Below are 23260 nucleotides of genomic sequence, written 5' to 3' on the forward strand. Positions count from 1 at the left end.
ACCATGTTGTCACCTTTATCTTGGACTTGTAGCCTCCAGATCTACAGAGAAGATAATTTTTTGTTGCTTAATCCACCAAGTCTATAGTAATTTTTTATGGCAGCCTAACAAACTAATGGAGACTCATTAACTGTTTAAGTGTGTTTTCTTAATTTTCATATGTTTTTGACTTTTCTAGTTTTTTACAGTTTTGCTTCAGTCCATAGTGTTCAGAGAATGTACTTTGTATAGTTTCTGTCTTTAAACATATCTTGAAAGTTGTTTTATGGATAAACATATGGTCTATTCCAGAGAATGTTCCTTGTACACTGGAGAATAATGTTCATTTTGTGGTTGTTCTGTGGCGTGTTCTTTAAGTGTCTGTAAGGTCTACTTTGCTTACAAGGTTTTTCAAGCCTTCTATTGTCTTAATGCTCTTTGTTCTATTCATTAGTAAAAGTAGGGTTTGAAGTCTCCAATTATTATTGTAGAATTGTGTATTTTTTTCTTTAATTATGTCAAAGTGTGCCTCATACATATTGAAGCTCTTTTATTTGCTGCATATATATTTCTAATTGTTTTATCTTGATGAATCAGTAGCTTAAATATATCATCTCAGGGTCCTACAGCTTTCAGAGTTCCTGGTAAGACACTGGCTGTCAATTATATTGAAAGGTCCTTACACATGACAAGTTGCTTTTCTTGCTGCTTTCTAGGTTTTCTTTTTGTATTTGGCTTTGGAAAGTTTGGTTATAATGTGTCTCAGTGTAAGATCCTGCTTGTAGCTTGTTGAGCTTCTTTGATGTGTTGGTTCATGTCTTCCATCAAATTTGGAAACTTGTTAGCCTGTATTTCTTTAAGTATTTTTTTCAGCTCCTTTTTCTCTTCTTCAGGGAGTCCCATAATACATACACTGGTATGCTTGATGGTGTCCCATACATCTCGTGGGCTCTGTTCATTTTCCTTCATTCTTTTTTATTTTCACACTGGACAATTCCAGTTGTCCAGTCTATCTTCAATAGCAGATTCTTCCTTACATCTGCTAAAATCTCCAGGAATTTTTTTATCTATCGCACTTTTCAGCTCTATTATATCTATTTAAATCTCTCTTCATAATTTCTATTTAAATCCCTATCTGTTTGTTGATATTTTCTCTTTAATTCATGTTTCTGTTGATTTTCTTTAGTTTCTTTCTATGATTTTCTTCATATATTTGATCATATTTAAGGCAATTAACTGAAATTGTTTTTCTAATATGACCAATGTCTGGACATCCTCAGAGATGTTTCCTCTTGATTTCTTTTATTTTTGTGAATGAATGTTTCTCTCTCTGTTTTATAGTATTTTTGTTAGAATTTGAACATTTTGGATTTTGTAATGTGGTAACTCTGGAATTCAGATTCTCTCTTTCCTAGGGATTGTTGATACTGCCTGCTGAGGGCTGTAGTTATCATTTGTTCAGTTACTTGTCCAAACTGTTTTCATAAGGACTGTATTCATTGTCATATGTGGTCACGGAAATCTCTTCTATTGTGACTATAGTCAGCTAATGAAGTGACTTGACAGAAAATTCCTAAAATACCAGCCTCTATCTTAATCAGGCACTCCCCTGGACAATACCAGTGTTTGACTTTACTTCAGAGTTTCTCAGTAGTTGATTCTGACAGTCTTGCCACCAGAATAGATGTTTTGGGGAGGGAGTGATTATTGATGCTTCCTACCATGCCATCTTCTGTGATACCATTCTGCCAAAACACTTTTGTTATCAAAAAGTGATGGTCGTTTTAAAAAATAGTATATAACACACTTAGATTATTATTTTAGTTCTTTATGCTTACCTAAAATTTGGCCCTTGATAACAGTTTCCCAAGACCATCAACTGGTTTCATAAAGTCCCCTCCAAATGTATCAAGAGGTTATTTAGAGGAAATTTCTCTACCACCCAGGCATGTGATACATCGTTGAACCATTACTACCAACTTTACCATTTTTCTGTATAGGTTTGTAGAAAAACTTGTAGATGTCATCTGTGAATACTGAAAGTGATCTCCATGTTTTCTTGCTTTTAATTCTTCCATTTATGTCAACAGGAGAATAATAAATTACCAAAAAAAAAAAAGCCCTAATAAGAGTAGGAGTATTCAAGGAAGTAATTGGAAGCTATCTGGCCTAAATTAATATATAAATACCAAAATGAATGAAAGACTGGTAATTACATTGGAAGACTCCTTGGTAGGTGTAAAATTTAATGGCATTAATTTTAGAATGTATTTATCCATCTGCCTCTACCTTCCACCCCAGTCCCAACCCCCACCCCTGCCAACAGCCCTTGCTTAAGTATTTCTTTCTATAATAATGATAATTCCATTAAAAAGGAGAAAGAGAATATAGAATTTAATAAACACTGTATATCAAAGATTTAATTTATTTTCTCAATAACGTGAATTAAGGCTTATGAATGACTTATGTTAAATATCATGAATTATTTAATAACATTTAATAACTTTTAAAATAACATATACATTAAGGCCACATGAATTCTGTGAAAACATTTTATTTCTTTACCATATATACTGCAATATGTTTATGAATAATAATTCTAATATTAGTTAATAATAACTATGTATCAGGAACTATGTTAATTGCCTTTTATGGATTATCTCAAATAATAATCATAGTAAATCTATGAGGATGAGTACGCTTCACCACTAACTTTTCTCAATATGAATGTCATCCACTTAATAATGAAGTAGATATGCTGATATCAAAGTATCATCCTCCTTTTTCCATAGTACTAATATTTTAAACACCAGTGAAATTCACTCTTCTCTATATATTTTTATATTTTTATTTTATATACATTTTTCAAAAGCTCATAATCTGCCTAAAAATTCCCTGAAGTATTTTTCAAAGAGACCTAACAAATATCCATTCTAAAGAAAATTCTTTTAAATTTTGTTATACCAAACCTTATATTCCTTTTAAATTGTTGAGGGAAAACTCTAGCTGGAACAGGAAGATTGGTTTTAAAAAATATACACTATGCACACATCCAGTTTATGATACTGAACCACACTAAATACTTATTCAACTGGCAATTATGGGATTTGTGTCTGATAGTACTATAAAATAAAAACTGTTATACAATTTTAAGGTAATGTTCTTAATTTTGAATTGCTTTATATATGTGGGACTTTCAACAAAATCAAATCTACAGATACGTAGTTGGTAATTGATTATGCAACATACTTTTGGCTATTGCTGTAAAAATTTAAGCAATAGACACTTAGTGAGGAATCTAATCCTATATCATCTAAATTGTATGAGGAAGTGGATTTGACTTATATTTTTATTTATTTATTTAATTTCCATAGGTTATTGAGGAACAGGTTGTGTTTGGTTACATCAGTAAGTTCTTTAGTGGTGATTTTTGAGATTTTGGCGCACCCGTCACCCAAACACTATGCACTGCACCCTATTTGTAGTCTTTTTTTCCTCACCCCCTTCTGACCCTTTCCCCAAGTCCCCAAAGTCCACTGTGTCATTCTTATGTCATTGCATCTTCATAGCTTAGCTCCCACTTATGAGGGAGAACATAGGATGTTTGGTTTTCCATTCCTGAGTTACTTCACTTAGAATGAGTCTCCAATCTCATCCAGGTAGCTGTGCATGCCATTAACTCATTCCTTTTTATGGCTGAGTAGTATTCCATTGCATATATACATGAGAGGTGACAGCGTGCTGGCAGTCCTCACAGCTCTCGCTCGCTCTCGGCGCCTCCTCTGTCTGGGCTCCCACTTTGGCGGCACTTGAGGAGCCCTTCAGCCCGCTGCTGCACTGTGAGAGCCCCTTTTTGGGTTGGCCAGGGCTGGAGCTGGCTCCCTTAGCTTGCGGGGAGGTGTGGAGGGAGAGGCGCTGGCGGAAACCGGGGCTGCGCACAGTGCTTGTGGGCCAGCGTGAGTTCTGGGTGGGCCTGGGCTCGGCAGGCCCCACTCTTGGAAGGGCCTGCCAGCCCCGCTGGCCCCAGGTAGTGAGGGGTTTAGCACCTGGGCCAGCAGCTGCTGTGCTCAATTTCTCGCCGGGCCTTAGCTGCCTTTCCGCTAGGCAGGGCTTGGGACCTGCAGCCCGCCATGCCTGAGCCTCCCCACTGCTCCGTGGGCTCCTGTGCGGCCGGAGCCTCCCCGAGGAGCGCCACCCCCTGCTCCACTGTGCCCAGTCCCATCGACCACCCAAGGGCTGAGGAGTGCGGGCGCATGGCACGGGACTGACAGGCAGCTCCACCTGCCGCCCTGTGCAGGATCCACTGGGTGAAGCCAGCTGGGCTCCTGAGTCTGGAGGGGACTTGGAGAACCTTTATGTCTAGCTAAGGGATTGTAAGTACACCGATCGGCACTCTGTATCTAGCTCAAGATTTGTAAACACACCAATCAGCACCCTGTGTCTAGCTCAGGGTTTGTGAATGCACCAATCGACACTGTATCTAGCTAATCTAGTGGGGACATGGAGAACCTCTGTGTCTAGCTCAGGGATTGTAAACGCACCAATCAGCACCCTGTCAAAACAGACCACTCTGGCTCTCTGTAAAATGGACCAATCAGCAGGATGTGGGTGGGGCCAAATAAGAGACTAAAAGCAGGCTGCTGGAGCCAGCAGTGGCAACCCGCTAGGGTCCCCTTCCACAATGTCGAAGCTTTGTTCTTTTGCTGTTTGCAATAAATCTTGCTGCTACTCCCTCTTTGGGTCCACACTGCCTTTATGAGCTGTAACACTCACCCTGAAGGTCTGTAGCTTCACTCCTGAAGCCAGCGAGACCACAAACCCACCGGGAGGAACGAACAACTCCAGACGCACTGCCTTAAGAGCTGTAACACTCACCACGAAGGTCTGCAGCTTCACTCTTGAGCCAGTGAGACCACAACCCCACCAGGAGGAAGAAACTCTGAACACATCCAAACATCAGAAAGAACAAACTCCGGACACGCTGCCTTTAAGAACTGTAACACTCACCACAAGGGTCCGCGGCTTCATTCTTGAAGTCAGTGAGACCAAGAACCCACCAATTCCGGACACATATATACCATAGTTTCTTTATCCACTTGTTGATTGATGGGCATTTGGGTTGGTTCCACATTTTTGCAATTGCAAATTGTGCTGCTGTAAACATGCATATGCAAGTATCTTTTTCATATAATGACTTCTTTTCCTCTAAGTAGATACCCAGTAGTGGGATTGCTGGATCAAATGGTAGCTCTACTTTTAGTTCTTTAAGGAATCTCCACACTGCTTCCCATAGCAATTGTACTAGTGTACATTCCCACCAGCAGTGTAGAAGTGTTCCCTGTTCACCTCATCCATGCCACCATCTATTATTCTTTTGATTACAGCCATTGTTGCTGGAGTAAGGTGGTATTGTGTTGTGGTTTTGATTTGCATTTCCCTGATCATTAGTAATGTTGCGCATTTTTTCTTACATTTGTTGGCCATTTGTGTATCATCTTTTGAGAATTGTCTATTCATGTCCTTAGCCCACTTTTTGATGGGATTTTTTTTTCTTGTTGATTTGAGTTCATTGTAGATTCTAGATACTAGTCCTTTGTCAGATGTATAGATTGTGAAGGTTTTTTTCCCACTCTGTGGGTTGTCTGTTTACTCGGCTATTTCTTTTGCCGCGCAAAAGCTCTTTAGTTTAATTAAGTCTCAGCAGTTTATCTTTGTTTTTGTTGCATTTGCTTTTGGGTTCTTGGTCATGAAAACTTCGCCTAAGCCAGTGTCTAGAAGTTTTTCCAATGTTATATTCTAGAATTTTTATAGTTTCAGGTCTTATATTTAAGTGCTTAATCTATCTTGAGTTGATTTTTGTATGAGTTGAGAGATGAGAATCCAGTTTCATTCTCCTACATGTGGCTAGCCAATTATCCCAGCACCATTTGTTGAAAAGAGTGTCCTTTCCCCACTTTATATTTTTCTTTTCTTTGTTGAAGATCAGTTGGCTGTAAATGTTTGGGTTTATTTCTTGGTGGTCTGTTCTGTTTCACTGGTCTATGTGTCTATTTTTATACCAGTACCATGCTGTTTTGGTGACTATGGCTTTATAGTATAGTTTGAAATTAGGTAATGGTGATGCCTCCAGATTAGTTATTTTTGTTTAGTTTTGCTTTGGCTATGTGGGCTTTTCTTCAGTTCCATATGAATTTTAGAATTTTTTTTTCTAATTCTTGAAGAATGTTGGTGGTATTTTGATGGGAATTATGTTGAATTTGTAGATTGCTTTGGCAGTATGGTCATTTTCACAATATTGACTCTACCCATCCATGAGCATAGGATGTGTTTCCATTTGTTTGTGTCATCTGTGATTTCTTTCAGCAGTGTTTTGAAGTTTTCCTTGTAGAGGTCTTTCACCTCTTTGGTTAGGTATACTCCTAAGGTTGGTTGGTTGGTTTCTTTTTTTTTTTTTTTTTTTTTTTTTTTGGCAGCTATTGTAAAAGGTTGAGTTCTTGATTTGATTCTAAGCTTGGTCGCTGTCAGTGTGTAAGAAAAGATACTTGTTTGTGTGCATTAATTTTGTATCCAGAGACTTTGCTGAATTATTTTATCAGTTCTAGGAGCTTTCTGGAGGAGTCTTTAGGGTTTTCTAGGTAAACGATCATATTGTCAGCAAACAGCGACACTTTGACTTCCTCATTACCAATTTGGATGCGCTGTATTTCTTTCTCTTGTCTGCTCTGGCTAGGACTTCCAGTACTATGTTGAAGAGGAGTGGTGAGAGTGGGCATCCTTGTCTTGTTCCAGTTATCAGAGGGAATGGTTTCAACTTTTTCCCATTCAATATTATGTTGGCTCTGGGTTTGTCATGGATGGCTTTTATTATATTGAGCTATGTCCCTTGTATGCAGATTTTGCTGAAAGTCTTAATCATAAAGCAATAATGGATTTTGTCAAAATCTTTTTCTGAGTCTATTGAGATGATCATATGTTTTTTTGTTTTTAATTCTGTTTATGTGGTATATCACATTTATTGACTTGTGTGTGTTAAACCATTCTTGCATCCCTGGTATGAAACCTACTTGATCATGTTGGATTGTCTTTCTGATATGTTGTTGAATTTGGTTACCTAGTATTTTGTTAAGGATTTTAGCATCTGTGTTCATCAGGGATATCAGTCTGTAGTTTTCTTTTTTGGTTATGTCCTTTCCTGGTTTTGGTATTAGTGTGATACTGGCTTCATAGAATGATTTGGGGAGGGGTCCCTCTTTCTTTATCTTGTGGAATACTGTCAATAGGAGTGGTACCAATTCTTCTTTGAATGTCTGGTAGAATTCAACTGTGAATCCGTCTGGTCCTGGAGTTTTTTGTTGTTGTTGTTGATAATTTTTAAATTACCATTTCAATCTCTCTGCTTGTTATTGGTCTGTTCAGGGTATCTAATTCTTCCTGATTTAAGCTAGGAGGGTTGTATCTTTCCAGGAATTTATCCATCTCTTCTAGGTTTTCTAGTTTATGCATGTAAATGTGTTCATAGTAGCCTTGAGTGATCTTCTGTATTTCTGTGGTGTCAGTTGTAATATCTCCCATTTCATTTCTTATTGAGCTGTTTTGGATTTTCTCTCTTTTTCTTTCTTGGTTAATCTTGTTAATGGCCTATCAGTTTTATTTACCTGTTCAAAGAACCAGCTATTTCGTTTCATTTATCTGTTTTGTTGCTTTCAATTTCACTTAATTCTGCTCTAATCTTGGTTATTTCCTTTCTTCTGCTGTGTTTGGGTTTGGTTTGTTCTTGTTTCTCTAGTTCCTTGAGGTGTGACCTTAGATTATCTGTTTGTGCTGTTTCTTTCTTTTTTTTTTTTCTTTTTTTTTTTTTTTTTTCCGAGATGGAGTTTCGCTGTTGTTGCCCAGGCTGTAGTGCAATGGCATGATCTTGGCTCACTACAACCTCTGCCTCCCGGTTCAAGCGATTCTCCTGCCTCAGCCTCCCGAGTAGCTGGTATTACAGGTGCTTGCCATCATGCCTGGCTAAATTTTTGTATTTTTAGTAGAGATGAGGTTTCACCATGTTGGCCAGGCTGGTCTCAAACTCCTGTCCTCAGGTGATATACCTGCCTTGGCTTCCCAAAATGCTGACATTACAGGTGTGAGCCACCATGCCCGGCCCAAACTTTTCGATGTAGGCACTTAGGGCTATGAACTTTCCTCTTAGCACCACCTTTGCTGTGTCCCAGAGGTTTTGATAGGTTGCATCACTATTGTCATTCAGTTCGAAAAGTTTTTAAATTTCTATCCTGATTTCATTTTTGACCCAATGATCATTCAGGAACAGGCTATTTAATTTCTATGTATTTGCATGGTTTTGAAGGTTTCTTTTGGAGTTGATTTCCAGTTTTTTTCCACTGTAGTCTGTGAGAGTGCTTGATATAATTTCAATTTTTTAAAATTTATTGAGGCTCATTTTGTGTCCTATCGTAGGTCTATCTTGAAGAAAGTGCCATGTGGTCCATTTGTTCCAGGGCATAGTTTAAATCCATTGTTTCTTTGTTGACTTTCTGTCTTGATGACCTGTCTAGTGCTGTCAGTGGAGTATTGAAGTCCCCCACTATTATTATGTTGCTGCCTATTTCATTTCTTAGATCTATTAGTAATTGTTTTATAATCTTGGGAGCTCCAGTATTAGGTGCATATATGTTTAGAATTGTGACAGTTTTCTGTTGGACAAGGCCTTTTATCATTATATAATGTCCCTCTTTGTCTCTTTTAACTCCTGTTGCTTTAAAGCCTGTTTTGTCTGACATAAGAATAGCTACTCCTGCTCATTTTTGGTGTCCATTTGCCTGAAATGTCTTTTTCTACCCCCTTTACCTTAAGTTTGTGTGAGTCCTTATGCGTTAGGTAAGTCTCTTGAACGCAGCAGATGGCTGGTGAATTCTTACTCGTTCTGCAATTCTGTATCTTTTAAGTGGAGTGTTTAGGCTGTTTACATTCAACACTAGTATGAAATGTGAGGTACCATTCCATTCATCATGCTATTTGTTGCCTGTGTACCTTGGTTTTTTGTTTTTTAAGTTGTATTTTTGTTTTATATGTCCTGTGAGATTCATGCTTTAGAGAGATTCTATTTTGATGTGCAAAATAGAACAAGACCTACTGTCTGTAGGTCTCTCAGCCATGTATACCAGCACCTGTTCTGGTGGCAGAGGTAGAGGGGAGAAATGAACTCTGTGAGGATTCTTAGCTTTGGTGGTTTAATGCACTATTTTTGTGCTGGTTAGCCTCCCGCCAGGAGGTGGCATTTTCCAGAGAGCATCAGCTGTGGTAGTATGGGGAGGAACAACGTTGGGTGGGGCCCTTAAACTCCCAAGAGTCTTCAGTTACTAGGGTGGGTAGGGAAGGGCCACTGGGTGGGGGTAGAGCTAAGCATGTCTGAGCTCAGACTGTCCTTGGGCAGGTCTTGCTGCTGCTGCTGTGGGGGATGGGGGTGAGATTCCCAGGTCAATGGAGTTATGTTCCTAGTGAGAGGTAACAGCATGCTGGCAGCCCTCAGAGCCCTCGCTTGCTCTCAGCACCACCCCTGCCTGGGCTCCCACTTTGGTGGCATTTGAGGAGCCCTTCAGCCCCCTACTGCACTGTGGGAGCCCCTTTCTGGGCTGGCCAAGGCTGGAGCCCACTCCCTCAGCTTGCAGGGAGGTATGGAGGGAGAGGCGCGAGCGGGAACCGGGGCTGCGTGCGGCGCTTGCGGGCCAGCTGGAGTTCCGTGTGGGCGTGGGCTTGGTGGGCCCCGCACTTGGAGCAGCCAGCCAGCCCTGCTGGCCCCGGGCAATGAGGGACTTAGCACCCAGGCCAGTGGCTGCGGAGGGTGTATTGGGTCCCCCAGCAGTGCCGGCCCACTGGCGCTGTGCTCGATTTCTCGCCGGGCCTTAGCTGCCTTCCCGCAGGGCAGGGCTCGGGACCTGCAGCCCGCCATGCCTGAGCCTCCCACCCCCTCCATGGGCTCCTGTGTGGCCCGAGCCTCCCCGACGAGCACCACCCCCTGCTCCATGGCACCCAGTCCCATTGACCACCCAAGGGCTGAGGAATGCAAGCGCATGGCGCAGGACTGGCAGGCAGCTCCACCTGCAGCCCCTGTGCGGGATCCACTAGGTGAAGCCAGCTGGGCTCCTGAGTCTGGTGGGGATGTGGAGAGTCTTTATATGTAGCTCAGGGATTGTAAACACACCAATCAGCACCCTGTGTTTAGCTCAAGGTTTGTGAGTGCACCAATCGACACTCTGTACCTAGCTGCTCTGGTGAGGACGTGGAGAACCTTTATATCTAGCTCAGGGATTGTAAATATACCAATCGGCACTCTGTATCTAGCTCAAGGTTTGTAAACACACCAATCAGCACCCTGTGTTTAGCTCAAGGTTTGTGAGTGCACCAATCGACACTCTGTATCCAGCTGCTCTGGTGAGGACGTGGAGAACCTTTATGTCTAGCTCAAGGATTGTAAATACACCAATCGGCACTCTGTATCTAGCTCAAGGTTTGTAAACACACCAATCAGCACCCTGTGTTTAGCTCAAGGTTTGTGAATGCACCAATCGACACTCTGTATCTAGCTGCTCTGGTGGGGCCTTGGAGAACCTGTGTGTCGAAACTCTGTATCTAACTAATCTGATGGGGACTTGGAGAAGCTTTGTATCTAGCTCAGGGATTGTAAACGCACCAATCAGCGCCCTGACAAAACAGGCCTCTCGGCTCTACCAATCAGCAGGATGTGGGTGGGGCCAGATAAGAGAATAAAAGCAGGCTGCCCGAGCCAGCATTGGCAACCCGCTCGGGTCCCCTTCCACACTGTGGAAGCTTTGTTCTTTTGCTCTTGCTACTGCTCACTCTTTGGGTCCACGCTGCTTTTATGAGCTGTAACACTCACCGCGAAGATCTGCAGCTTCACTCCTGAGCCCAGCGAGAACACGAGCCCACTGGGAGGAACGAACAACTCCAGATGTGCCACCTTAAGAGCTGTAACACTCACCACGAGGGTCCGCGGCTTCATTCTTGAAGTCAGTGAGACCAAGAACCCACCAATTCCGGACACACTAGGAGGATCATGACTGTCTCCACTGTGTTATGCAGGTTGTCAGGGAAGTGGGGAAAAGCCAGCACTCACAGGCCTCACCCAGCTCCCACACAATCCGAAGGGCCAGTCTCACTCCTGCCGTGCCCCCTCGCCCACAGCACCCAGTCTGTTTCCAGGCAGTGGGGGAGCAGGGCTGAGAACTTGTCCTAGGCTCCCCGCCTCCCAGCTGCGAAAGTAAATACGGCTTTCCTCCTTCCCCTGACTGTGGATTCTGCACGCCAGATTCATGCCCTCCCCCAAGTTCTGTTCAGGAGGCTTCTCAATCAGTTCAAATTGTTACAAAATTCAACCGGAGGTTTCCTTCTCCCTGTGGACTTTTCCCAGTGCCTCTGGCCACCTTCTAGAAGGACCCCTGTGAGGCCAGGCAAAAACAGCTTGCTAGGGGACTCAGCAAGCCCGCAGGGATTTTCCCGCTGCTTCCTCTACCCCTGTGTTTGGCTTGGCTCTCTAAATTAACTCAGCTCGAGGTACAGTAAAAATCTTCTCCCATAATCTGGGCCTTCAGTTTTCCCCCTGGGGGTGTGTGTTCAGGAGAGGACAATCTCCCTTTCCCGCTTCCACAGTTTGGGTACTCACAGTATTTGGGGTATCTCCTGGGTCCTGCAGGAGCAATCTGCTTCCTTTAGGGGGTGTGTGGGTCGTCTCAGGTTTCCTGATTTATTCCTGTAGTCATTCTGGAGCAAAAATTCCTGATGCAAGCCTCCACACGCTGCTCTGTCTGTCCCAGTGAGAGCTGTAATCTCGTCCTGCCTCTCGTCCGCCATGATCTGCGGATGAGATCATTATTTTTATTTACAGCATTTTTCCATAAATGCAAATCATAATTAAGGTGAAACAATCCTTTTACTTTGGACACTTGCTGATGAAAACAAATTTTAGCAATAATTTTTTTGAATAGAAATACAAATAAGCCGTGAATCTGAAATTGGAAATCTCTTAATTAGATCCATAGTTAGAGAAAATTTTATAAAATTTTGGTTTTCAGTGTGTTAAAATAACTTATGGAATTGTAAAGAGTGCCTTTAAGGGAAATGGAAATAAAAGTTTGAAATACGTGATGTATGTCACTCCAACTCTTAAAAGGCCTCACAGCCTTTTTTTTCTTTTGTCCCACAACTTACAACAAAGATCTTTATGGATATTGATTTTTAAAGACATAGTTCAGAAATTCGAAGCAAACTTCCACATGATAAACCATATGTCAACTTAATCAATTTTTGGAATAATGAAAGTCTCTTGACGGCAGCTGCTTTACTTAGGAGAAAGCCTTTGGTGGTTCATTATCTATTCAAAGAAAGGTGAAACACTAGGGTCGTTATCCAGACCTCCAAAAGAGAAGTGACTATGAATAATGACTGTAATTAACATTCAGATTTATAAATGCCACTTTCCAATACTAACAACTACTTGTAAATGAAAATACTGAAATTTCTGAGAATGATCATACTAGTAACATATTTCTGTCATTACAAAAAAATTATGTAGATAGTGTAAAAAACCAATGACATAATTCAGTTAAAATTTATAGGAAGATTTATCTTTTTTCAGATGATCTTTAACTATAATTATTCCTGAAGCCCCCCAAAAAGTAAAAGGATTACTATTCTAGTTTAAAAATTCTTGTAACCATGTGTTGTCATCCTATGTATCTAAAATTGTGTACATTTAACTTACTAAGAAGTCATCAGTAATGATTTCTTTGAGTTTTATTGTAGAAAGTGGTTTTTTAAATCTAAATATTTTATACATAGTAAAAGCTTCTACGTTGTTAGTGTATGATTATATTGTATCATTTTTACAATATGCAAATTATATTGCTGTCAGCCTGAGGCTTGTGAAAAAGGAGGTTTGTGAGGATGTTCTGTAAGGAGTGTTCCTTCCTTACTTTGCTCACCCCAAAACCATTGTTACTGTTTTTTAAATCAAACTCTTTCTGAAAATAATTGATTAATCTCTCCATAAGGAATGAAACTATATTCCTTTTAGTTAGAAACCACATAAAGTTGAAACTCCTTATTCTCTTCCGAACACAGGTTTTCTAGAAGCACACTTTCCATTTGCAGACTATAGAACAATGGATATTGTCTCGGAATGTTGTCGTGAGGGTAAACACATACACAGGGAAGCTTGGTTCCTAAAGACCTACATTGCAAAACACACTGCACCAATTTCTCTGATTTTCTTTCCAAAACTCTCTTTAGAGAGTTTGGGTTCTCTCCAATTCCACCTTTTTAATACTAAAGCAGTGGTTCTCAAACTTTAGCTACAGTAGAATCACCTGGAGAGTGTGTTAAAGCATAGATTTTAGGCTCCATCATCAGTATTTGGTTCTGTAGGCCTAGAGTGGACCCCAAATTTGCATTTCTAACAAATTCCAATGACACTGATGTTGCTATTTCAGGCACTATGCTAACCTAACACATGAGTCTGATCATTCAACTCAAATATCTTTATGGATCAGTCAAGAGAAGTTAATTCAAAAAGCCTTGGAAAATAAAATCAATAGGCAGTGGTGAGAATTAGATAAATAGAATGTGCTGGACTAATTTAAAGGCTTTCTGTCTCACATCTTTTAAGACAGTGTAATGAGGAAATGAAACATGTCCAAATTCAGCCTTTTCATTATACTTGAGGTACCTATCTTAAGCAATATTGTGTAAGCTTTTCTTCTATCTCTAGTTTGAATTTATATTGAGTTAGTCTAACAGCCAACAACTTATCTTCCTTAGGAAGTGATGTAGGGATGCAAAATGTGAGTAACTTTACTTTCGCTACTGTCAGATAAGATTAGCTAATTGAGGCATCAGCAAATGTAATGTGGTCCCAATATAGATCCTGTTCCTTTTCATTGAAAACTGGTAAAAACTGGATTTCTGGATAATAGAATTGTCAATGAAATTTCAACAGCAGTAGTGACAGAAAGTTTGCTGTTCTCCTATTGAAGTAACAGAGTAGCCTAGTAGCACATAGTATGTAAAAAAGGAGAAAGTACAATAAAGAACATAACATCAATGAAATAAAATTATCTGCAAATGAAACCTCTGTTTTGTCTAGAAGAAATCTTGAGACTAAAAATATAGGTTCTTTTATAGATATCAAGTTGGGTATTTATTCCTAACTTATAATGTTTTCAAAGTGGTAGATCATATAATGGTCTTCCAGACAGAAGTGAATAGTGGGCTAACATTCTTGAAGAGATGGAATCTTTGGAGACTCTATTATTGGAAATTGGAGAAAGAACTGTGCCAAGACATGAAAGAAGATTTCTAAGGGTCTCATTGAACTTGTAGATGATACTGATGTGTAGATAAGCACTAAAAAGTTAAAAAATACAGTAGCAAGAAAACTATCTGAAAGTTAGAGAACTTAGGTTCTTGCAAAATACCGACTCTTCATTTATTAGCTTTCTGACATAGTACTTTTTGCTTAACCTGTCCGTGATTCCATTTATTTACTTCTAAAGTGAGCATAATTCCACTGGGTTGTTGTAAAAATCACTTATCAAAATGATCACAGGTCAGGTGACAGTGGCTTATACCTGTAATCCCAGCACTTCGGGAGACCAAGGCTTATGGATCACATAAGGCCAGTTGTTCAAGACCACCTGGACAACATGTTCAAACCCTGTCTGTACTAAAAGAAAAAGAAAAAAATCAGTAAAAGAAAAAATCAGAAAAAGAAAAAAAGTAGTGCCAGCTACTCGGGAGGCTGAGGCAGGAGAATCACTTGAACCCAGGAGGCAGAGGTTGCAGTGAAACGAGATCGTGCCACTGCACTCCAGCCTGGGCAACAGAGCAAGACTGTCTCAAAAATAAATAAATAAATTAATTAATTAATTAATATCGACCACAGCTCTCAAACATTTTATAAATTATAGAATTATATGAGTCCAAGATTGTGTGATTTGCATTATTTGTGTGACTATAGCTTAAATGTATTCATTTATTTTAACTTATTCTTAAGCCAGTTGAATATATATAATGCAGTAGAGAAGTAGATCTACCATGTAATGTATATACATGAGTTTTTGCCCCTGGACAATATATAATATTCTATACTTTAGTCACCCATTCCAGATCTTGCAAGTGCAATGTTGATTCTGGTTTTTTGCACTTTAATTAATATTATACTTAACAGTGATTTTTTTTTCTCTATTATGTTGTTTGAGGACAGGCAAGATAATACCCATAGGGAAAAGAATAAAGGACCCTGATTGTTGACATTGATTTTTTAAAGTGATTCTATGCACGTGAATTAAATGATATCAGTACAATAACTACAGTGGAAATTGTGAAATTGAATAGTGCCCTTGGATATAACCCAAATGCAAACTTCATTTTGTTACAGTAGTTAGCTTTACAGGAAAGAATGTAGCAGACCGAGAATAAAAAAAATTGCTTTTTAAACTGGGTACTGCATTTATTTTTATTCTACTTTTTGTATTAATTCTCTGTTTGACTATTCCTTTATTTAGAAATGATTAAATGTAGTTTATGAGAAAAGTCTATTAAGCTTATCATGATATAATAACATCTGTTGCTATTTTGTTGTATAGGAATAGTTAGCAAGTACATTATCATTCTCAGCATTTTATGATAATAAGTTTGGGCTAACTGCAATTTATGCTGTGTAACATCACCTGGACTAAACCCTCTTGTTTTAATTCAAAACATCTTGATTCCCTGGGGAGTTATTTGCAGCAGTTTTTCAAAGACATCTTCCATCTCCTTAAGTTCTCAATCTCGTTTCTTTCAATTTTCTCTCTTGCAATAAAACCGTCCCTCCTTTTATTCTTATGGGAGGATCAAAGGAGTGAAGAGAAGGCTGAACCTTTTTACTGTCTCTATACTCATTCTTATACTTTTTGTTTTCATTTTCAAAACCTTTATTTCTATTATCCAAAATTACTTTATCACTTCTGATCTAGAATTAATTTTTATCTTCTTCCCTTGTAACTAACTCCTCTATTTTCTCTTATTCTCCTCTAACATTTTCATTGTTTTTTTCCCCCCTATGGTTCTTTTCTTACGGCTTTGAAATGTACAGGTACCAGAATAGGTCTTGGGAGAGGGATGGGATAGAACAAGTGAGTTTGAAGTTGCAGGTAGGGGCAACAGTGGTTGGGCTCAGGTTCAATGATCCTTGCTCTCAAGAGAGGCAAAAAGCACTATGCCAGAGTCTCCGTGGTGGTCTAAAGGGTGCCTGAGTTTTGTACTTGTTAGAGAAATTAAGTTTACTATAACCAAAAAGGTTTAATGTTTAGAAGTTAAAAGCAAGTGAAGAATGTCTCATTCTGAAATAGACCAAACTCAAAAGCCTAAGAATGCAGGGTGGGAATGAGCAGAAGTTAGGATTCCAAACAGGTCAGTAATTGAAAAAAAAAATGGTGGAAATAATACTAAAAATTTAAGACACATACATCTCTGTGGCCAGAGAGAATTGTGTCAGGGAGACAGGCCCTGAGAGGCAAGCAACAAGGAAGGAATCTAGGAACTGAGCTAGGTCACTGGTGATGAAATGCCAGATGGTGGCTATCAAGGATTCAGTACTGACCAAGCAGCATTGCCCAACACAAACCAAAAGCAGCTGATCAGCGAGGATGTGAAGCCTTACCAAGGTCATAATGCATAGAAAATCTGAAATCAGAAAGCAAATGATGAAGAAATAATACTCATACAGTGTTTGATATATTAATCCATCATTCATTCAACAAATACTCATTGTCCACTTTGTGGCAGGATTTGGGCTGGGTCCTGGGACCAGAACAGTTAGCAAGAGCAGGTTTTCCAGCATAAGTTTATAAGTGCATAAACTAGGAGGGTAAGCACATAAATAAATAACTTCACAGCAGTAGGAAAAATGCTATTAGAAGACTCAACATGCTAAGGTAGCATCTATAACTGATGTCTGTCTACGAGCTTCTACATAGATTCCATTCTATTGTTTACTGTTGAGGTATAGTGGATACACATCAATTAATTAAATGTAACTTCTCTGGCCTCATTATGGTTGGCTGTATATGGTGAACTCCATGTCTTGTAGGTTTTACTCCTGTTCTCAGGTAATGGGCTCTCAAAAAATGTAATGCAAGGCTTTGATATGACCATTTACTTTCTTTTTTTTTTTTTCTTTTTTAGACAGAGTCTCTCTCTGTCCCCCAGGCTGGAGTGCAGTGGCAGGATCTTGGCTCACTGCAAGCTCCACCTCCTGGGTTCACATCATTCTCCTGCCTCAGCCTCCCAAGTAGCTGGGACTATAGGCGCCTGCCACCACGCCCGGCTAATTTTTTGTATTTTTAGTAGAGATGGGGTTTCATCATGTTGGCCTGGATGGTCTCGATCTCCTGACCTTGTGATCCGCCTGCCTCGGCATCCCAAAGTGCTGGGATTACAGGTGTGAGCCACTGCACTCCACCCTCATTTACTTTCAACTTTTATTGTTTCTTGGAACCTCATTTGGGGGAACTAATAAATAGGGATATCATTTTATGGTAATTCTAGTTATTGCTTATTGTGAAGATAATGAGCCCCTATGAATACATTATTTGAGTGGCTAGTGGAATTATTTCAAATGCTTTCTCAAATATGTAAGTTAAATATTTCACCTTGTAATTTTTCAAGCTCATTAACAATATTCATTTGAAATATGTTCTTCAAAAAATTATAAGTTTGTATGTAACTTTGTACAAATGGAAAATTTGTTTCTCTCCTCTTAAATTTTGGCATATTTTACCCACTGATATTATGTTGAAATAAAATTGATTCCAAGATATGGCTTATGATTTCAAAAATCCATTTCCCATAGCTTAGATCTTTGTTAAACCATTTAGTGCCCCCTAAAAGTGATGTGAAGTGTATACAGCCCTAACCATTAGAGTAAATAGATGAGATCGGGTGCGTTCAGGGTGGTATTGCCATAGACCCATTAAAGTAAATAGAAAAAACTTTTTATTTTCAAAGTTGTTTAAGAATAATTATGCTAATTGATGTAATTATCAGAATAACAGTATAATTCATTGCTCATCTCAACTATTCATACTAAGAATGTCCTATTGTCATCAGAAACAGTCATCAAATCTGAGTTAAGATAAACACTACACCAACACACATCACCGTCCCTTCAAAATATAGAAGATGAATTCAAGTCTGAAAATGTGTTCAAAAGAGAGTTGAGAATCGTTAAAGTTAACCCATCATATATATCCATGTAATCTATTATTTAATTTATTTTTAAAAGGTATGTAAATATATATAGACTCTGAGGAAAAAGTCTCAAATACCTAACCTGGCATTAAAACATTTCAGTCAACAAAACTGTGTGTTATAGTATACACTGAAAAACAAAATATCTGTACCCCAGCCTCTACCCTTTTTTTTAAATTGGATCAACTGGTTTTTTAAAAAATCTTTCCTTCACACAGAGTTATTATGGAAATTTCACGGACTGTAAAACTAGATTACCAAAATTTTTAAACTAACTGAATTTCAACTTGAAGAACATCATGAAAAAAAATTCCAAAGCAAATCTATCATATTAAATGTATGTCCACAATTTTTCTGAGGCTGTTTTCATTTAATATATTACTTTTTCTTTTCTTTAACAACTAGTTACTAAGCACCTATTGTGTTCAAGACCCTGTGACATTTTAATTATGTTTGGTAGAAAATCTAAAAATCTCTAAGTTTGATCCCAAGCCTTTAGACTACAAAGTCCACGATTTCTTCCCCTGCCATATACATATATTGCTTTGCCTATACAGAGTGGCTGGAGTAATGAGATTCAGCGAAGGATTCAGGGGAATAGCTTTTAGGGTGGCCAGAGGTAACTAGGATAGTAGATTGCCCAAGAAAGGCAAAGTAAAGAAGAATTCTTTAAAAGGAGGGTACTGTCAGTTATTTCAAATGAAGCAGAGAGATGGGAAAGTACGTGGACTGAGAAGAGCAAACGAGCTGGACTTATCCATTAAGTCCAGCTGTGACTTTTAAGAGATTGTTTCAATTGAGTAGTGAGATTGGGAAGTAGATTGTAAGATGCTATAGAGTAAATGAACAGTAAGAAATTAAATGAAGGGTGAATAGACCAATGTTTTTGTGTGTGCAAAAGTGGAAGTCCATTTTTTTTAAAATGAAATCTTGTGTGAATTCCTGAAACAGATAAGAAGTTAGATTTTTAATCCCTCCTTTCCTTACTTGGGTATCCTGGAGATCTCAGACTCAATGCCTCTGCAATATAATTTGCAAATTAAAGGTGGACCTTCTTTTGAGATGTTTAACAGGCTAAGAAAGGAAAGAAATAGTAAAAAGAGGAGCACTGGGGATGCACAGTAACTGCTCAACTGGAAAAGTAAGGAGAGCTTGAGGGATCTTTTGTGACACGGAATTGTCTCAAGAGAAGGCTTCCCATTGGAGGCAGCTTAATGTAGACTCTTACCCTAGCCAGATGTGTCCTTTTTACTGCTCTTAAAGCTAATCCCACCCAGACTCTATTCTCAATTCTTGATCTAAGCTTGAAAGCATGCAGTGAATGGTGGCCCCAGAGGGCCTTACCTAACTTACTCTCAAAACTTTCTGTCCCTGTCACTACCCCCACCTTCAACCTATGTCATAGTTACCTTGGAGCTTGATTGTTCAGAGTTCCTGGAACTCTTTCATTAGCATTTAGTTCATCAGTTACTGTGCATCTCCTGTGCTCCTCATTCTATTTCCTTTCTTATCCTGTTAAACATCTCAAAAGAAGGGTCCACCTTTAGTTGGCAAATTACGTTGCATAGGCACTGAGTCTAAGACCTCCAGGCTACCCAGGTGAGGAAAGGAGGGATTAAAAATCCCACTTCTTGTCTGTTTCAGGATTTTACATAAGATTTCATTAGCGTCTTTAATTAATTTAGAGAAGCATAACATAATACTTCTTTTTTTCTTCTGGACAAAGATTTTATGGTAGAGAGCAAGAGCCAGAGCCAATGAAAGATTCACAGGATATTGGAAACGTCTGCTACTTAACTACATTTTGAAATTTAACTTTCATTGTGCCTCATTTTGAAATGTAACTTTTCAAAGGAAGTTGAAATTTTGCACATTTGCTCAGCCATTAGATTATTCCTGTTGATATGAAAAGGAAAATATACATTTTTGAAATATATTTTTCAGTTTAAGAAATTTGTGGAGTTTGAGACCAGCTTGACCATGGTGAAACCCCATCTCTACTAAAATATAAAAATTAGCTGGGCATGGTAGCAGGCGTCTGTAATCCCAGCTACTCGGGAGGCTGAGGCAGGAGATTCGCTTGAACTCGGGAGGCAGAGGTTGCAGTGAGCCGAGATCGTGCCATGGCACTCCAGCCTGGGCAATAGTTGGAGACTCTGTCTCAAAAACAAAAAGAAAAGAAAGAAAGAAATTTGTTCTCCTGTAAAAATAAGTATTTTTTCAAGGTTATTCTCATATACTTATATTAGCAATATATTTTTTCTTTACATTCCTAAAGTTGGCTATTCTTATCTGAAATTAGGCATTTTTGGCCTTGGCCAAAGGAATTTCCTCCCCCTAGGGCTCAAACTTGTGTAAAACAAAAGTCATAAAGAATGAAAGCTACTTCTCTCTCATCTGCCCTGCAACAAACCTCTCCTGAAAAATGAATGAGGTAGGTGCTGGGATAAAGGAAGAGAAAAAGAGAAAACAAAGGAAGGAAACACATACAGAAAATCTAAAATAATATCCTCAAATTATATTCATATTACAGATGTGACTATAAGGCAGTAAGTGGTTAAATTACTTGCCCCCTTTTCTCACTATCTAGGCATAAATACTTCCAGCTTTTGTTATGTCCATGTTTAATACACCTAAGTGTATGCCTTAACTATGGGTGGGGCTACATTTTTTATTGTCAGATGGAGAGTGACAGCTGAGGATTTATTTTAACGATTAAGTCTCTTATTGAATTAAACATGCTCATATAGATCATTTTCAAGGTAATCATTATGTGTTCCAAGAAGTGTAGTATGGTGGCTAAAAGTATGGTTTGTGGGATCAGAAAAAATAACTTTGTTCAATGCCGTGATTTTCTATTACTACTTTTGTAACCTCCGGCAAAACGATATGATGTTTCAAACCATATTTTCCTTATCTGTACAGTGAAAATAATAAAACCCAACTCATAGGGTTTGTCAGAGTTAAAAATTAATTTAGGGAATGTGCTTGCACTGTGCCGCCTGGCAGCCAAAATATTCAACAAATACTACTCTTATTATAATCAAGAAAGAGGAGGTAAGGCCATACTTAGAAGTGACATTTTGTTTTTGTTTTTATATATATGAACGATACATCTCAAATGCACTGCATCAGTTCTTCAACATCTACGAGTTTATATTCATTAAACACGTTTCTGCAGAACTCAAAATACATAAGAATGACCTTGTTCTTAAGAATGCATTCCAGTTGGAGAAACGAAATGTATGTCTATAATAACTAACTAGTAATTCTTGCACAATGTATGCAAAATGGTACAGAGCATTTCTACAAATGGAGATTGAAGAGCCTTGTTTAAAGAGCTCAATAAGGTTTTTTGACAGGGCATGGCCGTTTCATATTCAGTTATCTTTTCCAGTTCCTTGTGTAGATAGTGTATTCAATTCCATAAAGATTTGTGAAAAAGAGAGACTCGATAGGAGCTTCTGATATTGACTTTGGGTAGGGTTCTTAAGTTTCTCTTTAATAATCCTTCCATATCCTCTTCTGGGTTTCTTCTTTCTTAGCACAAAGCAAGTTATGGTTCAATTGACTTTCTGTCTGCTTAATAAATATTGATATATTGGATACATTCAAGCATGGCCATGTGTGATCCATCTTTAAAGGTACAGTCATTATGCAGGGAGGTTGCAATTTATTTATTCCTCATTCATTCTCTCATCTTTTGAGAGGAGTCATTATGTAAATATTGAGCACATTCATAAAATGAAAAACAAAAACAACACTAGCACTTTTTTAAAAAATAAAAGCTGTTGAAAATAAGATAGCATCTGCAGCAGAATGAAGTGAATATAGACCCTATTGTGCACATTGTGTTAGTATATTTTCTTTAGACAATAGGAAATGGTAATTGAAGGTAAAATGTGCAATTTCTGATTGTAAGAGCTGTGGTATACCGCAATGATTGAGGAAGCAAAATACACATAGTTCCTTCACTAGGGATCTGGCACAGGATTAATAACTCAGTCCTGAAATATGTATAATTATATGATTTCTCAAGGCTTGTTTCACACATCTGACTAGAGGTAGACATGACTACATATATAGATGTAATTAAACATATTAAACATATGGATTATTGTGTTATTATAAGACTAGCGAAATTTGAATGTGTTTACTCATACACAAAATTATTGAACCTAGTATGTCTGTCACTATTGATTCAGACCACTGGTTTGATTGAGTTTGTTCATTTTGCTTATTGGTTGACTAATAATTAAGAAATATAAACATCATTTAAAATATTTAATGACATTTTTATTTTTTCTACTTTATTGAAGTATAATTGAAAAATTTGCCTATTTTAAATACATAAAACATGATTTTTAATTTGTGCATACATTGTAAAATGATTACCACAATCAAGCTAATGAATATATCCATTATCTCACATGTTTATCTTTAAAAATTTTTTATGGTGAGAGCACTTAAAATCTATTATCTGAGCAATTTGCAAGTGCACAATAGAATATTATTACTTATATTCATCATGCTGTACAACAGATCTCCAGAGTGTATTTAACCTATTTAGCTAAAACTTGGTGTCTTTTGTGCAACAATTCCACATTCTCTCCCTGCAACCTACTACTTTTTATCCCCTGGCAGTCTTCTTCTCTCTCCTTTCATGAGTCTGACTTTTTTTAGAATCCACAGGTAAGAAAGATCATGCATTATTTGCCTGTCTGAATCTGGTTTATTTTGCTTACCATGATGTCCTCCACTTTAATCCATCCTGTCACTAGTGATAGGATTCCCTTCTTTTTTAAGGCTGAATAATATTCCATTGTATGTGTATGTATGTTTATGTATATATGTATTTATATCACATTTTCTTTATTCATTCATTTGTTGATGGACACAGGTTGATTCCTTATCTTGGCTATTGTGAATATATTTTTAACACCCCTCTAAATAACAATCTATCACATCTTCA

At 38.4% G+C, this 23260-nt stretch overlaps 1 protein-coding gene across 2 annotated transcripts in view, besides 1 other annotated feature; it reads left to right on the forward strand.

Moving 5' to 3' along the window:
• GPC5 (glypican 5) overlaps nucleotides 1-23260 on the forward strand; it is a 1468617-nt gene that overhangs the window by 888382 nt on the left and 556975 nt on the right. The window lies entirely within an intron of this gene.
• Nucleotides 4016-4520: an enhancer, noted in NCBI's record as "H3K27ac-H3K4me1 hESC enhancer chr13:92943271-92943775 (GRCh37/hg19 assembly coordinates)". NCBI's record gives its function as "activates a minimal SCP1, AML or CMV promoter by ChIP-STARR-seq in primed H9 embryonic stem cells {active_cell/tissue: H9 hESC(primed)}" and the evidence as "EXISTENCE:reporter gene assay evidence [ECO:0000049][PMID:30033119]".

The sequence above is a fragment of the Homo sapiens genome, chromosome 13 (genome assembly GCF_000001405.40).
Source record: "Homo sapiens chromosome 13, GRCh38.p14 Primary Assembly".
Classification (NCBI taxonomy): Eukaryota; Metazoa; Chordata; class Mammalia; order Primates; family Hominidae; genus Homo; species Homo sapiens.